Source organism: Homo sapiens, chromosome 5 (assembly GCF_000001405.40).
Source record: "Homo sapiens chromosome 5, GRCh38.p14 Primary Assembly".
NCBI lineage: Eukaryota > Metazoa > Chordata > Mammalia > Primates > Hominidae > Homo > Homo sapiens.
The window spans coordinates 170,549,941-170,567,680 of record NC_000005.10 but is presented as its reverse complement, the minus strand read 5'-3'; the positions used below and the strand labels follow the sequence as shown (position 1 = coordinate 170,567,680).

The 17,740-nt window shown below is 47.4% G+C and overlaps 1 protein-coding gene across 6 annotated transcripts in view, besides 2 other annotated features; it reads right to left on the bottom strand.

Moving 5' to 3' along the window:
- KCNIP1 (potassium voltage-gated channel interacting protein 1) overlaps nt 1-17,740 on the bottom strand; it is a 383,146-nt gene that overhangs the window by 168,952 nt on the left and 196,454 nt on the right. The window lies entirely within an intron of this gene.
- Nucleotides 13,830-14,030: a silencer, noted in NCBI's record as "peak5573 fragment used in MPRA reporter construct". NCBI's record gives its function as "represses an SCP1 promoter by STARR-seq MPRAs in K562 erythroleukemia cells {active_cell/tissue: K562}" and the evidence as "EXISTENCE:reporter gene assay evidence [ECO:0000049][PMID:32103011]".
- Nucleotides 14,807-15,376: an enhancer, noted in NCBI's record as "H3K27ac-H3K4me1 hESC enhancer chr5:169979309-169979878 (GRCh37/hg19 assembly coordinates)". NCBI's record gives its function as "activates a minimal SCP1, AML or CMV promoter by ChIP-STARR-seq in primed H9 embryonic stem cells {active_cell/tissue: H9 hESC(primed)}" and the evidence as "EXISTENCE:reporter gene assay evidence [ECO:0000049][PMID:30033119]".

The following is a 17,740-nucleotide window of genomic DNA, read 5'->3' as shown; positions in this document are numbered from 1 at the left end:
GTGTTCTCCATCCAACTTCTGATCAGAAAGGCTCCTCACCAATGGCCCTTCCCCCTGGCGCTAGCCTCAACTGTCCTTCCCCATTGCTTCTTGATCTTTGCTGCTTCTGTGATGATTGTTAGAGCCCAGCCCGTCTGAGCTCTGAAGCTTTTTTCCACCTCTGGACTTCTCTTTGCCTGATCTCCTCTATGATCCTCATCTCCTGACTGACTACTTAACTTCCTTTTGTCCTTTGGTTCATAACTCCTTTTCTGACCTCTTTTCCTCCTAGCTTCCCATCTGATGTTTGGTCTGACTTCTGACCTCCTCACCTCCTGTATCCACCTTCTCACTCATCCTTAGATCAGGGTTTCTCCCCAGCGACACTATGGCATTTTGGACTGGATAACTGTAGTTGGTGGGGAGGTCCCCAGGCCTTGTAGGATGCTTAGCAGCACCCCTGGTCTCCCTGCTCACCAGAGATTAGCAGTGAGTAGATACTTAACCTGGTTGTGCTCATTAAACATGTCACCAAATATTGCCTAACATTCTTAGGGGGAAAACCACTGTATGCCAAGAACCACTGCCTCTGACCTAAGATGGCCTTCCCCTGCACTTCAGGCCCTGACTGTATCCCACTGTCAGGGACAACTGGGATTTATGCATTTCTGTTTCTAGCTTTTCTAGGTAACAGCTCTGCCCAGTCCCTAAGCTACAGACCCCTGCCCTTCTGAAGCCTAAATCACACTCTTTCTCTGAATATCCAGGTGCTGGCCACAGACTTTCTGTTCGTGGTACTCCATGCCATATCTTCCTTCTTCCTAATTCCTCGTGCTTGTTTTCCTCCTTTTCCTGGTTTATGATTTGCATTTTAATAACCAGTTCAATTTCTCAGGTGCTTTGGGTGGGTCATTAATTTCATGGTGCTCCACCGTCATTAACAGTTTTGCCCCTGACAACCAGGGACCTGTTTAATCTCCATCCTCCCCCTCCTTGGCTTTTCTTTTTGCTTTGATCCATGCCTTCCTCACTGGCCCACTCTCTAAGACAGAAACCAATGCTGTTTACATCTATCAATGTAGACTACGAGGTCTCCTGAATCATTGCAGACCTGTTTCCTGAGGGACATGTGGTGGCATGGTGTGTGGGGGAAAGCATGGGCATTGAAAATGGATAGATCCTGCCTTGGTCCCTCCAGTCCTTGTATGACCTTGGACAAGTCACTGAATTTCTCTGAGGCTCAGTTTAATGCAGTGTTTCCATTTTCCTTTAAAAGCTTAAATGAAAATACATAATAATACGGATAGTTGGCCGGGCGCGGTGGCTAACGCCTGTAATCCCAGCACTTTGGGAGGCTGAGGCGGGTGGATCACCTGAGATCAGGAGCTCAAGACCAGCCTAGCCAACACAATGAAACCCTGTCTCTACAAAACAAACACACAAACAAACAACCAAACAGACAAAAAACCAAAAATTAGTCATGCATGATGGCAGGTGCCTGTAATCCCAGCTACTCGGGAGGCTGAGGCGGGAGAATCGCTTGAACCCGGGAGGCTGAGGCGGGAGAATCGCTTGAACCCGGGAGGCAGAGGTTGCAGTGAGCTGAGATTGAACCATTGCACTCCAGCCTAGGAGACAGAGTGAGACTCCATCTAAAATAATAATAATAATACAGATAGTTCAGAAATTAAAAGACAACAAGTTTCCCCCATAATTGTCCTCTTCCACTCTTCATCCATATACAGATATTTTTGCATTGTTGCTAATAATATCCTGCATTTGTCCATTTTTGTCATTTCCCTACATATTAGGCATCTTAACACTATGCTGTGTCATATGAAGATGAGGTGCTTGGATTTAAATACCTTATCTAATTGCTTCTGAAAATATTCCTGGCAAACAGACATTGTTTCCTTCCATTTCGCAGATGAATAACTGAGGTCAAGAAGTCCCACATGGAGAAAGTGGCAGGATTAAAATCCTAGTTTTAAAAATCCTAGTTTTTCCTACTTAAAACACATGCCTTGAACCAAATAGCATATTGCTTCTTATATAAAATTAATGGACTTGAATGAGATAATGTGTATAAAGTGTCTAACAGTGCCTGGCACATAGTAGGTACTTAACAAATGTTAGGTATTTTTCCTTATGTATTTTTTTGGGTAATAAATAGAAACTGTGAGTGTTTAGAGAAGAACAGAGTGTCTTTGAAAGATCTGCCCTTTCCCTGGCCACACTCTCTACTCAGTGTAAGTTCCTTTAGGCTGAAATAAAATCTGTCCCTGAGCTTCCTGCAGTACCTTGGCCAGTGCTTATATAAATAGATACTGATTTGATTATTGGTTAAAGCAACACGGGAGGTGCAAGTCACATCCATGGTGACTCCATGGGGAGAGGTGAGACTGGCATGCTGCTGGCCCATGGCTACTCTCAGACAAGGGCATTTGCATAACTGGAACTAGCTGTCCCCATCTCTAATAGAGATCTGAACGTCACTAATTGGCAGGCAGAGGCTGTGTTCTCTCTGTGGGAATCAGAAGGGAGCAGAACGTGTCCTGAATGTTAATTTTCTCATCAGCCTGCTCTTGGTGGTGGGGAAAGAGAAGGGGAGATAAAGGAAGGTTGAAAGGCACAACTTGTTCACACACAGAGCTCTGGTCTCGCAGCCATTTCATTAAAATGTACGGAAGTAAAATTAAAAGGGCACAGGACTTGGGGCCAGGTAACCTAGGTTGAGTTCCTGAATCTCTTTCTTACAAGCTAAGTCAGAAACAAATCTCTCAGTCTCACTGAGCCTCAGTTTCTGTATATGGCAAATGAAAAAAAAAGTGTAACTGGTAAAAACAATTGTTGAATGAATGGATGAAACCTGATAGATTTTTCAAAGGGATGTGACATCAGCTATATAATTTGTCTGTTTGTTCTGCAAGAGTGTAAACAGAAAAAAAGTTTCATAAAATAAAAAAAAATTGACAAACCACATGCAGGCTTCTGGGTGAAGGATGGACAAGAATCTCCCACCTCCCATGGCAAGAACAATACCACGTCCCAGCACTGTGGTGCACACACCTGGCTGGGAAGTTATTTGAGGTGTTTTCTTAAAATATAGATCACGGGCCACATCCCTGGAGAAAGTGTGGTTCAGTAGATCAGGAAGGTGGGGAAAAGCTAGGAATCTGAGCTGTTTTTCCTGTGCCCCCGCAATTCACCCTGGAGGCAATGCCACGGTCAGTGCCTAACAGCTCGGTCTCCTGCTACCTCTTGCTTTTGATGATTGGAAAAACCAAAAGACGTGTCATAGGAAAGATGCTGTGCTGTGCAAATAAGTGTTGTAGTCAGTTTGCCTTCCAGGATCCTTAGAGATGTTTCAAGGACATCTGAGCAGAGGCGGGAGAAGATGAGAATAGTGTGAAGCTATAATTTGTGAACACTCCCAGAACACGAGTACAGTTTTTAATATATTATTAGCATCTGCTGCTGTGCTGATACACAATGTACCTTAAAAACATAATTATAGAAATTAAAAATGATAACATAAGAATGTATCAATAGAAGGCCCAGTGATTTCTTTCTGCATCTCTGAGATTCAGCAGATTGTTATTGCATAGCTGGTTCGTAATGTGTTTACAGTGCACTGTGACGTGGTTATGGAGGAAAGAGGACGTAGGGTGGTTGGGGACTCTGTGTGTTTATAAAAGCAGAAGGAAGGGGTGTGTTGGGATAGGAATCTTCCTGAATATGCCCCAAATGGTAGAAACTTAAAACGCCTGATGCAGTGGCTCACGCTTGTAATCCCAGCACTTTGGGAGGCTCAGGCGGGCTGATCACAAGGTCAGGAGTTGGAAACCAGCCTGACCAACATGGAGAAACCCTGTCTCTACTAAAAATACAAAATTAGCCAGGTGTGGGGGCACATGCCTGTAATCCAAGCTACTTGGGAGGCTGAGGCAGGAGAATCGTTTGAACCTGGGAGGCAGAGGTTGTAGTGAGCCAAGATTGTGCCATTGCACTCCAGCCTGGGCAACAAGAGTGAAACTGTCTCAAACAAACAAACAAACAAAAAAAAAAACAAAACACCTTAAAACTAGCACATACCTCCCATTGCAATTGTAAACTGTGCTTATGACTTTGCATTCTTACACAAAGGTAAGATGTAGCTGAGAGCAATACAAAGGAAATCTCTTACATCATTTATGCCAAACACCCAGTGCAGATCCCCCACCTTAGAAATCTCAGGCTACAGAGTGAGGTATGGGGACAGGATGGGAGAGGAAGCCCTGTGTGTGAGCAGGTGATGTCAGTGTTATAAAACTGGCATGAGGATTGTGGGCCCGAGTCCAGCAGTTCCATCAATAGCAGCCACTGGGATGTAATTCCAATAAACTGAGCAACTGATTGATCCAAAGTCGGAATAATCACTAGCCTCCTTCCCTTTACCACTGGGCCTGCAGGGCTGGGCAGGGTAAACTCTACTCCAACCAAGGTGAGGAGCAGCAGCGCCTGCCAAATCAGTAAGTGAAATAGTCATCTGCACTCTGGAGGAGTGGGGGTGAGTAAATGATAGTTGGTGGATGGCAGGTGGGAAGGCTTTGGGTTTCTTAGGCTCTCCTAGCAGGTCTTCTGCAGTGTCCAAGACTGAAAGGGCAGCGTACGAGGGGAACTAGATCTGTGTGTGGGTGGAGGTGAGGAGGAGAAATGCCTCTTGCTACCAAAGTTGCAGTCTACAAACTCAGTAGCTCAGGCCCTGGACTCCATTTCCAGAGTGCAGGAGAAGATGAACACCTGTTCTACTGCCTTGGGGCTCGAGACTGCAGACAGCTACAGGAGCATGGGTCCCATGTGATATTCCAGGGCCTGAACCTTATTCTGGGCAGGTGTCCTGCTTGCTGTGTTTCAGTTCTCCAGCTGCAGCTTAGAGCCCTGGGCTCTGGAAGTCAGATTTCTCTGTACTCCAATTCCAGGAAACTTGAAATGCAAATGTGCCCCTTGTTGGAAGGGCTTTTATGAGAAAATGGAGCATGTCGTGGGCACAGCAGCTCAGGGACTGAGAGACGGCGTGCAGGGGATGAGGAAATGAGGCACCCATTGGATGCCAGGCTTTGGGAAAGGCTTTTGCAAAATAAATGCATTTGCGGGGACCCACTGAGCTTTGGGAACTGGACAAGGGAGGAGAGGCCAGTGAAGACAGCATTCATTTACTCATCCAATAAATGTTTGTCGAGTGCCTGCTACACATCAAGCACTTTCCCCAACTCTGGGAACACAGCAGTGGACAAGACAGATGAGGCCCTTGCCCTCACAGAGCTCACGTGCTGGTTGCAGAACCCCATGCAGTCATGTGGTCTCTGAGCTCAGATTTCACAAGGAAGCTGCTGTGCCCATTGCCACCAACCCCTGTGCACTCCTAGGCTCCCTCCTGGCTCCACACTTGTGCTGGGCCCTCTGTCCAGTATTCCCTCTGCCTCTCTGTCTTGCAAATGCACATTTATTCTTTGGGTCTCAGCTCTATTTGACTTCCTCCAAGAAGCTTTCTTGTCATCCAGGGTGGGCCGGCTGCCTCTTTTCTTTGCTTCCATCTAAACATTTGCCACATATCTATTTTTCTGTCTGTCTTTAAAAATGTAACGCAGATGATCCCTGACTTACGACGGTCTGACTTCAGATTTTTTGACTTTATGATGGGTTTATTGAGACATAACCTCATTGTATGTTAAGGAGCATCTGGACTTAGAATGGTTCAATTTACAATTTATTGACTTTATGATGGATTAACTGGGGGTACTAAATGCGTTTTTGATTTCTGTATTTTTGATTTACAATGGGTTTCTCAGGAGGTAGCCCCATGGTAATTTGAAGAGCATCTGTACACTCTGTGGGGGCAGGTCTCAGTCCCAATCATTGTTGTAGCCTCAGTTCCTAGGATAATGCCCACCACGCAGTGGGAACTCAACGAATATATACTGTATTGAACTGAATAGACTACCTTGTGTACCTACTGTGTGCCAGGCACCGTGTGTGCATAGGCGTCCTGTGTGATGAAGAGATGGGAACCTGGTCTCAAGAAGCCCTTGGTCTAATGGAGGGTGATCAACCACAGAGGCAGAAACATAGCGCCTAAGGGCCAAGGCACAAACAAGCTCTAGATTCTGCCCTGTAGGTACTGAGGGAAGAGAGGAGGAAGCCAACGCTACCTCTAAACTTGTCTCCCACATGCTCCTTCACCATTTGCCCAGCCCCCTTCCACGTGCCTTTGGTGGTGGCCTGGCACCATCCTCCTCCTTTCTCTGTTCCAAGAGTCCTCCCCCTCCGGAGTGCTCTTAAAGCCACTTTAGCCTCTTTGGACCCTGCACACTCTTCAGTCACGGTTGCTGTGTGGCCACTGTCTTTTGTGAGCTGGTGGTCCCAGCAGGGCTGGCAAGGCAGGGAGGAGGGCGGTCTCATCTGAGGATGCAGGGGCCAGCCAAGCAGAGCGGGGACTTTCTAATTGACATTTAAATGTCAGTGCGCCACATTAAATGTTATGGGTGTTTCATCTCAGCCCTCGAAGGAGCATAAACACATCTCCAGCTCCTTTATCACTGCCCACATTAATTACAGATGCCCTTTGGTAAGTGGAAACAAACCCACAGCACAGCCACGCACCAGCCAGGAGGCTGGGCTCCTGCCCGTTGGATGGCACGGATGCCCTCCTTGTCCACAATGCCTTGCCTGGCCTCTGGGCCCCAGAGGGGACTCCTTCTTGTGAGAAGAATAGGCAGTTAGAGAGAGATTAGAGAGAAGCCTGTAGTGAGGGAGAATCTGGGGAGGAAGGAGTGGGAGAGGAGAAGGAAATGGAGGGGAAGAAAAAACCCCACAGAGAGAAGAGCATCTGGGGCGGGGGGAACCAGGGTGGAGGTGAGAGACAGTATAGGACAGAAGCAGAAAGACATGACAAAGAAAGGCAGAGGAGACAGAAAGAGACACAAACATACATAGAGGGGACAGAGGGAGATGAACAGAGAGGAAGAGAGACAGAGGCTGAGAAGCGCCAACCTGTAAACTCAAATGTTTCTTTCTAGATAGGTCTGGAAACTTGAATCTCTGGAATATGCAAAATGCCCCCTTCACCACCAAGAAAGGACCATCCTGGTCCCTGATCCCCGGGGGCACAACACTGCTGTGTGACAGGGGCATGACAGCTCCCATGAAGGAGTCCAGAACCGAGACCTGTGGAGAGAACATGAGATGCCCAAGGTCACGAGGTGAGAGGCTCAAGGTCACAGAGTCCATCATAAGACTCAGATCTTATATTTTCTGGGGCTTTGCCAGGGCTGCCTGTCAAGACATTCTGGCTGTGTTCCTCCAGCAGATCTGAAACCTGACCCAATGCATGTATGCTCTCAGCCAAGAGCCAGCCCAGGTAACAGGTGCTGGGCATGTACGTCTCGCTGGCTCAAGTCATAAGAAAACCAACAAGAATGCTCTCGTGTGCTTTCTGCTGGAAGCCCAGAGGCTGAGAGGAGGAGCTGGAAGACAGGTGGTAGGCTGGTTTAATGAGCTCTGTCCTGCCCCACACTGCCCAGAAAACTGGCTCTTCCTGAGAGGTCCCCAGGTGCCACTCAGTGGTAGCTCCTGAGAAGGTTTAGGAAGCATCTACATTGCACAGCATAATACTGAACATCATCTATGAATCCCCTAGCCCCAAACTTAAGAAGCAGGATAATTACCAAGTAGTTGAATTTCCCCTGGGAGACACAGCCTTATGTATGTGGATGAGGAATAAGCAGGAGGAAATTTGGGAGAGTGAGAAATGTGGTCAAGGTGTTGAAATGGTGACCAAGACGCTGTCTAAGGTTCAGGCTGAGGAGCCTGCAGCTTTGAGTTCTTGCTTGGTTGTGGGCATCTGCCTACCTTGAGGCAGCTTTATTCAGACCCCTGACACATCAGGTTAACAGCATCACCATTGCCAGGCAGTTAACATTTACCAATGCCCTCTCAGAGCCTGGCCAAGAATGCAGAGGATGTAGAGGTGAAATGTCCAGAGGGTGTTTTTCAAGGAACCCAGCCTAGAGGGGAGAACTGAGAGTAAACAGATCCCACAGCACACAATACCCCAAACAATAGAAGAGGGGTACGTATGAAGGACCCAAACATAAGACTCAGCCTGGAGCAGTTGAAGTTTAACAGAGGAGGGGATTTTTGTGCTGGACTTTGAAGGATGAATAGGAGTGTGCTTAGAGGACAAAGGGAGGGTGGGCCCATCCCAAGTAGTAGATAGAAAAGGCATGAAGTTACAAAGTTTGAAGAACTGGGCATGTTTGCAAACAGTTCGTATGCTAGATACTGGGGAGGAAGCCAAAAATGAATAATACATGTTTCTGCTTTGTAGGCGATTTGACATAAATGGAAGTAACTAATTATGGGTTTATTGTGATAACTTACATAAGAATGATATACACAATGCCTTGGGACTAGAAAAGTAGAATTTTTGAAAAAATGCATTTATCTTTACCTCTATCAAGTTTTCTAGAGGAGTTTAGGTGGTAAGACAGAGGAATTAATTCAGTCTAGAGTGAAGGTGGATGCTGCCTTGAGGAGTGATGTTGAAACTGGGATTGGGAAGAGGATTTTCAACAGTAGTTCATACAGCTGCCAGATACAGATACTGTGTAGCCTAGAGTAGAACTGACTAAGAAATACTTGAGATGCCTGCCTCGGTTGGAAGAGAACAGAGAGAACATTATCTTTTTTTGATCCTCTTATTTCACAGGTGAAGAAACTGAGGCCCTGGGAGGTGATAGGGACTTGTTTGAAGCCACTCAGTTTACTAGGGGCTAAGAAGATATAGTCCCATATGTCAATTGGCAATTTCTGGGTTTTAAACAACTCTGGGGTTTATAAGCACTTTGTTTTATTGTATTAGATTTCTGTGTCACGGCTGATGCTCTTAAGGATTTCTGTTTGTGCTTTTCCAGTTCATTAAAACATAATAATAGACCGGGGGACCATTAAAGTTTAAATTCCCTGAATCAGCACTTGGCTGCCTCTTTTTGGGAAATGTACAGGTGGGTTGAACGGCAGCACCCAGGTCACTCCTGGCTGGTCCCAGGGGCTGCACAGCTGCTGGGATGCAGCTTCCAGAGAGCCCAGTAGGGTCACTGTGAGAGCGCTTCCATGATCTTAGATGGAGTCAGTGTCCACTCCCATTCCACCTCGATCTTTATCTACAAGGGAGCTTGGTGTCCCACCTGTTCAATGATGCGGCTGGAAGAAATTGTTTCCTTAGGTCACAACCAGTTTAAACCTTCTTTAAAAAATTAATTTTTTATTCTCTTAAATTATTTACTTTTGGAGACTGGGTCTCACTATGTTGCTCAGGCTGGTCTTGAACTTTTGGGCTCAAGCCATCCACTCACCTCGGCCTTCTATGTAGCTAGGATTACAGGCACTTGATGTAATTACGGGCTCAGTTTAAGCCTTCTGACCTTAGATGGCAAAAGCAGTTTAAATGATGAGATTCCTTGATCGTGGGTGGCACTTTACATTAAAGTTCATTGTCACATTACCTGGGGAGGGGAATGTGATGCTGCCATTTTATAGAAACTCAGGGAAGGAAGGGAGCTTGGCTAGGCCAGGGAAGGGCAGAACTGAGACTTGTCACCCAAATCCCGTCAAGTCCTCTCTCCTAAACCAGAATGCCAATAATTTCCTAGTAGACCACAGCCAGCCTCAGGGCTGAATATGGAAATAAGTGCCACCATAATAAAAGTAACAATTATTTAAGGCCCAGCAATGCGCCAGATGCTGTTCCAAGCACTCTACCTGTCTCCTGTCATTTAATCTTCAGAACAACCTTATGCTAGAAAACTCAAAGTAAGCCCACATTTCTCACTGTGGCTTCAAAGCTCTCTATGATTTGACCTCTAGCTACTTCTCAACCTCATTCCTACCCATCTTCTCCCTGTCCCTCCACTCCAGACACTCGGGCACTCTTCCTATTTCTCAAGCTTGTTCTCTCCTCAGGGCCTTTGTACAAACTGCTTCCTCTGCCTAGAAATGCTCTTCCCTGATGGTCATGTGGCTCAAATAGGATGTTGTCCACGAGGCCTTCCCTGCTCTCCACTGGCACTATCTGACCATCCTCTAACTGTTTGTCTTGGAGAGGATGGGACCCACACGATTCATTTCTGGGTGGTTGACCCCAAGCACAGAGCTTGGGACACAGCAGGAGGCTCAGCAAATGCTTACAGCAGGAGGCACATGAAGAATGCAGGGGGAGGCAGGAGAGAAGGAGGGAAGGGGAAGAAGGCATGAGGTACTGGAACCACTTCTCCAGGCCACACCTCTTTGAGATGACTTCGCAATGGACCCATCTTCAGGAGAGAAAGTTGTCTCAGTTTATCCATATTTATTCCAGAAAATAGCCACCATGCCTGGATACTGGCTAACATGTCTGAGCACTCACCATGTGCCAAGTCCTTTAAATGCATGAATTTGTTTCATCCTTTTGACAACTCCATAAGATGCATGCCTGTATTAGCCCTGTATTGCAGCTGAGAAGAGAGGCCCAGGGGTGTTGGGTCACTTTGCCAAGGCCACACAGTTAGTAAGTGGCAGAGCTGGGACTGGAGCATGGGAGAAGGCTTAGCTTCAGAGTCTGTGCACTTAATCTTCCACTCCACTGCTGAGGGAGGCTAAGGGACCTGTTCAAGGTCACACAGCCAGCATATGGAAATGGTGGGATATAAACTCAGGCCTGTCTGACTCCTAAGGCAGAACGCCCACACTGTCCTACCCAGGAAAGTTTTAACAGGCCACATCCACAATTGGAATCCAGGCTACAGACCAGCAAGAATTCCCTGATGTGGCAGCTAGAGCTGACTGCAGAATGAGGGTCTAGAAATACTCTGGTGCATTGAAGGTGGGGCCTCCCAAGTGCTCCTGTCTTTCCTAATCACAGCTAAGGTTCTGGAACAAACACCCAGGCCTCATTCACAAAATGAGCTATCTGCAGATGGGGCTGAATGGAGACCATCGGAAGAGACACTTTAGATTGTCAGAGCTGTGCAGCTGGCTCTAGCCTGCTTCCGGGCCCAGCTGCCACATCCCACCTCCTTCTTTCTTCCTCTCCCCATCCCTGTCCTTGTTCCTCTGCCCCTCTTCCCTGTTGACATCGGCTCCCACCCCCCACCTCCTGGAGAGGAGAATCCATGCAGAGAGAGCTGGGGTCCCTGACCAGAAAGGGAAGGGAAATGCAGACAACACCTAAAGGTGCTTACAAGGGCCTTCTGGGCCAAAGGGCACACAGTGCAGGACTCCAGGAATCTCCTGAGCCTGGCATCTCAGATGCATTCTTCCTTGCTATCACCCTCAAATCATTTCTTGCAGCTCCTCCAAGAAGAACTTGAGTTTGGGAACCCCTGGAACACAACCAGTAAGGAGGGTGGTTTTCTAGCACAGCGATTTTGACAAACTGTCAAGACCAACTGGCCTCACCCCTTGTTTGCTGTTTGACATGGGGGATGTGGTTTAATGAACCACAGCTTGCTCATCCATCAAATAGGGATAATAACACCTACTTCATAGGATCTTGAGAATGAAATGTACGGACGTGGTTCCTGTGCATAATCCCGTGCCTCGTACATATTTTGTGTTCACTAAACGGTTGAGTTGTTGTGATTGTCATTGTTGCAGTGGGCCAAAGGTTTTCCTAGCAGGCTGGTCTATTCTGGCCCACAGTGGGGCAGGAGGCTGGTTCAGAGGGTACCTGGAAGCCAGGCTGGGCTTGGGTGGTGTTTCCTTTGCATTCGCTTTCCTTGGCAATTTCCTCTCATTACCTTGTGTCCCTGTAGCCCTAGGTTTTCACGCCCCAAATTATAAGACAGTCTCAATAACCAGATACGTCACCATTCCCGAGGCTGCCTCGGTTTTCCCAGGGCTTTAAAATATGCCATCTCAGTTCATTTCATGAAGACTCTGTGGGACAGACAGGGACATCCCTGTTTGACAGATGAGGGTAACCTCCTTAAAGAAGTTTTGGGCAGCACAGCAAGGGAGAAAGCACTTGCTCCTGACATGGCCAGAACTTTCCAGCACCCACAAATTGTTTGGGGCAGAGCATGAGGGCATGTGTGCTCTCCCTGAGCCACAATGCTGTAAAGTAGGAAGGGAAGAAACCGTGGGGCCAGCTAGCTCTTGGTCGGAATTCTGAGGCCACTGCAACTGACTCTGCAGCTTCCTCACTTACAGCCTCAGTTTCCCTATTGGTAATATGGAATGATAACACTGACCTGGCAGTGCTATTGAGAAGATTAAATTCAATACCAAATGGGCACATGGTAGGTGCTCCATTCATGCTGGCTCCTGGAGGGGTAACTTCTGTCTTTTTGGAGGGCATGGTGCCCACCTCATTCCTTCTGCCCCCAAAGATCCTCCTTGGAAGCTATTTCCCATGTGCATGCAGCAAGCGCTCTGAAATCACCTCCACGATGCTGTCAAAAAGTAGGCTGAGCGCCCGCCTGCGATCTCCTGAGTAATGGCTGAGCTCAGTCTCGGTCTCGCTGGGGAACTGAGACAGGCAGTTGTTTAGTGGTGGAGCAACCAGGAGCCTGAGTACTCTTGTTCTGAGAAGATGGGGCTGGGAACGAACGTGATTCTGCTCCGCCTGCCAGCAATGAGGGATAATTACAGTGCTTGTCAAAATAAGATATGGAGATAGAGCCCATTCCTCGCCAGCCAGCTTCTCAAATCCCCTGGGACTTCCTGGTCTAATTAAATACCTGGTGCAAATGCTGGTGTCAGCGACATGTCTGGATTAAAAGCCCACCCTAAATGGAGCCAGGATGAGTGTATCCCCCCTTTCTTCCTAACAGGCTCTGGGTGGTGCAGAGCAAAGGGGTGGTGACGAGAAGGGGAGAAGAGGAGAGAGGGAAGGAGAGCATGACACATACAGGAAGAGAACCGATAAACAGAGTCAAAGGAGGCTCTGGCAGACGGATTACATGGAGCATAAAAAGAATTTCCCAACTGGGAAGCATGCCTGCAAAGACATTTGCTATCTTAAGAAAAATAAATCTCACATCCTCGAGTCTGGCCATGGCTGGTGAATCTCCACTTGGGGAAGGGCGGCTCAGCCCCAAATCTGGCTTCTAAGACTCTTCAGGTGCCTGAGATTCCGTCTGTCATCAAGCCATCTTCCCCCACTCTTCTGGCCTCAAGAGCTGCTCCCTCGCTTGCCATCCTGGCCCAATTTTATACACAGTCCCATCCTTTAATCCTCCTACAGAATGGCTGAGCCTGGCTGCAATGTTAGACAAGACTTAACTAAAATCCTGGAGTGACAACCAGAAAATAAACATCGAGCAAGTCTCGAATCCGGATAAGCTGGCATGCAAAATGTACCTTCCTCTCGGAGGCTCCAGGGAGCTTCTCATTCTTCTTAGTCTTCACCAACCCAGTCCCCATTCTGGGCCACCTGCTACTGATCCCAGACCTGGCATCTCAAACTAGTGCCCCCTGGGCTGGATTTCACCCTTAGATAATATTTTCTTTGGGATACACACGATTTTTAAAAAATTAAAAAAAAAAACTTTGCATGGCATCTGTCCATCCAGGTTCTTATGAAAAATCAGAAGAGCTGGCCATACAGGGCCACATTTCCACAGGCATGACCAACGGGAGCTGCTTTCCTTAGACAGGACATGTAAGCATGGACATTGTCACACCAGTCTAGGCCCTAGAGTGTGAGGGCAAGAGCCATGACATTGCCTTTCTGCCTTGTCCACCTGTATGTGCTAGATATTGAGTTGGATGTAAACATCTCACGGACTTTCTCATGTGAAGGATGAACCCGGGTCCACACACATCTATCCATCCGTTCACTCAACAATGTTACTGAGGACTTCCTCTGTACCAGGCACTGTGCTAAGCCTGGAGACAGAAGGTTAAACAAGATAGGCATCTGAGGTTCACCTCTTCACCCCAGGTTTCCTGTTTGAGGCCCTCTCCTTCTTACTTGTAAGGAATTGCAGCTAGGAATGAAAGGCCAGCCCTTCCTCTGAGGTGAGTCTTACCGTCGCAGACCCCAGGATGACAATTGTGCCACAGAACAGCTCACCCACACCTCTGGGCGTACAAGAGATGCTCCAGCCCGCTGAGGAGAGCTCTTTCCACTGTGCCAGCTCATGAACAACCGAGAGCAGGTGGTATCATGTACAGCCTAGAAGAACATGGATTCTGGGTCAGTCTGCCTAGATGTAAATGATGGCCAGTGCTACCTTGGAGAAGTTACTTTGCCTTTCTGGGCCTCAGTTTTCCTCATCCATGAAATGGGAATAATGATAGTTCTGACCTTCTGAAGTGGCTATGAAAATTAATATTGGTCAAGTGATTGAAAAGTAGTAAGGGTGTTATTTAAGGATATGATGAATAAATAAACAAGAACCAGGAATACACAGGTTTCGACACAGGGGTACAGGTCACATGATCTCCAGGCATCCTTCCCTGTTCAGGATTTTATGATTCGACAGAGGTGTCCCTCATGGGGCAGTTGTGAGGATTATCCAGAAAATGCCTGTGGTGTCTGGCCCAGAGTCTAGGTCACGGGAGGAGGTGCTGCTGGGGTTACGATTTTCCCCTCCTCTCTCCCCCAGGCACGGGCCGCAGCTTGCTGCTGAAGCCTGAGGCCTCTGCATAGCCTTGGGAGGAATTCCCTGCATATCAAGCAGCTGGGAGCTGAGGGTGATGTCATTCTTTGGGAGCCCTCCAAGGCTGGCTGCTGGGGTCCTGCGGGAGAGGAGGGCTGAGTCTCAGGGAGTCTAAGCTCTGGGCCCCACTCATCGTCAGCGTCAGCTGGCCTGGACAGCTCCTGACTGCCTTTCTGGGCCACGCTATCTCCTCCTACAGTTCCTGCCCTGCAGCACGGCTGAACTTGGGAAGCATCAATCGGAGCCTGTCAGTCCTGCGTAAGCCCTTCTAGTGGCCTCCAGTTGCACTCAGGATAGAATCCACTTCCTTCGCTGGCCCCAAAGGCCCTGTGCGGTCTAGCCCTTGCCTTTCCTACCACCCTCCCTTTCATTTCCTGCATTTCCTGTGGTCCAACCACAACCACCCTCACTCCCCTTCTCCCTGACTGGTCTGGAGCAGCCTTCCATCTTCCCCCTACCTGTTATGGAAGCCCGAACACAAACGCCACCTCCTTAGACAGTCTTCAAGGATTTCTGAATTTAAAGCAGCCCCTCACTCCTCCACACTCCCCTCCTCGTGGCCTCCTGCTTTCTTTCCTTTGGATCCCTTCTCGTTTCTCCAAATGATCTTACTGATCTGTTTACTTGGTCATTGTCTGACCCATGCCCACTGTCAGAGCAGCGGATCATGAATTCCATGAAAACGCAAACTGGTTCTGCTGTTTGGGTCAGCTCTTTATTCCCCAGCTCCCAGCCCTGTGCCTGGCCACAGACTTGCAACAAACATGTGTGGCCTCAATGTGTGAATAAATGAGTTCATTTATTTCAGACGCCAAGAGATGTGGCCTGGTCCTCCCAGGGCCCAGTGCTGTGTTGAGAGACCTGTGACAAATGGCTGTAATTTTTATAACTTCATGAAGACTGGGTAAAGGCAGCATCCTCGATCTACGCAGTAGGGGACTGGTCCTCCCTCCAGCCCATCGTGAACATCGGCATGAACACACACACACACACATTCTCTCTCACACTCACACACACATACGCACACAACACACGCTCACACACTCAAACACATACACACACTCAGACACACATGCACACTCACATTCATACGTGTACTCATACATACACACACTCACACACTCGTACACATTCATATACACACACACACTCAAACACACAGTCTCACACATGCACTAACACGTACACTCAAACATCACATACTCACATTCACACACATACTTGAACATACACACACTCACATTCATACACCTACACATACACACACACGCATATACACACTCAAACACATGCACTCATATACACAGTCACACGCCACACATACACACTCTCATCCACACTCTCACAACCACTCACAGTCACTCAAGCACACACACACATGCACACACACACACACACAGCTACCTTGGCAAGAACAAATGCTACTGTGTGGTGAAGGAAAGAGAATGACATTTGCTTTCAGACTCATCTGGATTCCAAACCTGGGGAAGCCCTGGCCCAGGACTGTCAAGAAAGGTGTGGGCAACACAGAACCTGGGAGAAGGGGGCTCTGGTCTGCATAGCTGTCACTCCATGGGGGTGCATTTACCCTGCACGTTTGCAACAGTTGCCCATGTGCCTTCAGTGTTCCACTCTGGGAGGGGGCTGGCAATGAACCGTAGGTCAGATGTGGTATGTTCCCTCACCACAGACTCAGATAATAACGTAATCTTAGAAGTGGTGAGGGTTATACAGATAAATGGAGAAAGCATTGCAGGAACCTAGGCAAAGGAACATTGCAGTGCATTCCAGGGTGAGATCAGCCAAAGCCCCAGAGAGGCTCTCACCATTGAGCTGGACCCTGAAGGATGAGTACATGTCTTGCTAAAAGACAAGAAGGAGAAAACACAAGTAGAGAAGAACACAAAAAAGGCATAAAAGTGTAAAAGTGCACGGAGTGAGTGAGTGCGCCTGTACCCAGACTTAAACTTTAGGAAGCTTACATTGGCACAGTGTGGAGACAGATTGGAAGAACACACACTGAAAGAAGGTAAATGAGATGAGGGGGCTGTTGAGAAAGGTTAAGCCCTGTTCCAAAGAAATTAAAGGATGAGCTTAAGAGTTAGTTACTTATGAAGTAGACTCACAGTTCTTGGTGGCCAATTGGCCATAGCATTGAGTGAAGGGAAGGAGTTGCAGATTAAACTCTATCATCATTGCCATCACCAATATCACCATCACCACCATTATCATCAACCTTGTCATCACCATTATTGTCATCATCATCACCATCATCATCATCATCAGTACTGTCATTATCATCATCACTGTTACCATCATTGTCATCACCATCATCATCACCAGTATTGTCATTGTCATCATCACTGTTACCATCATTGTCATCACCATCATCATCACCATCATTGTCATCACCATCATCATCATCATTGCCATCATCATCACCATCATCATCACCATCATTGTCATCACCATCATCATTATCACCATCATCATCATTGCCATCATCATCACCATCATCATCACCATCATTGTCATCACCATCATCATCACCATCATCATCATTGCCATCATCATCACCATCATAATCATCATCGTCATTCCTGTTAACATTCACTGGATTATGAATCAGGCACTTTTAGAGGGATTGTTTTGGGAGGAATTCTCAGATCAATAAGAGATTCTGCAAGCCTTAAAAACCACCCAGTTTCTTATCTAACAGTCTTTCCTAAACTTCCTTTCCTAGATAAACTTTTTTCTGTTCCAGAACCAAGTGTGTTTCTGCTTGGTCTTCTTTATGGTCCTCTTGAGGGGTACAGTTATGTCAATAAATTTTGCATCTCCCAGGCTGGATACAACAGCCAACTGCCCAGTCAACTTCCCAGCTCTGGGGCCTGTTCCACGGCTGTGATCCAACAATTTGAGGGGCAGCTGGATTCTAGGCACTTGCTACTTCTTTCTTAATGCCTCCACGACAGTCCAATGCTCCTACAAGCTCCATGAGACAGAACTATATCTTTTTTATTCACCGATGTATACTCAAAGTGGTAAGCACATAGTGGACTTTCAGCAAATATTTG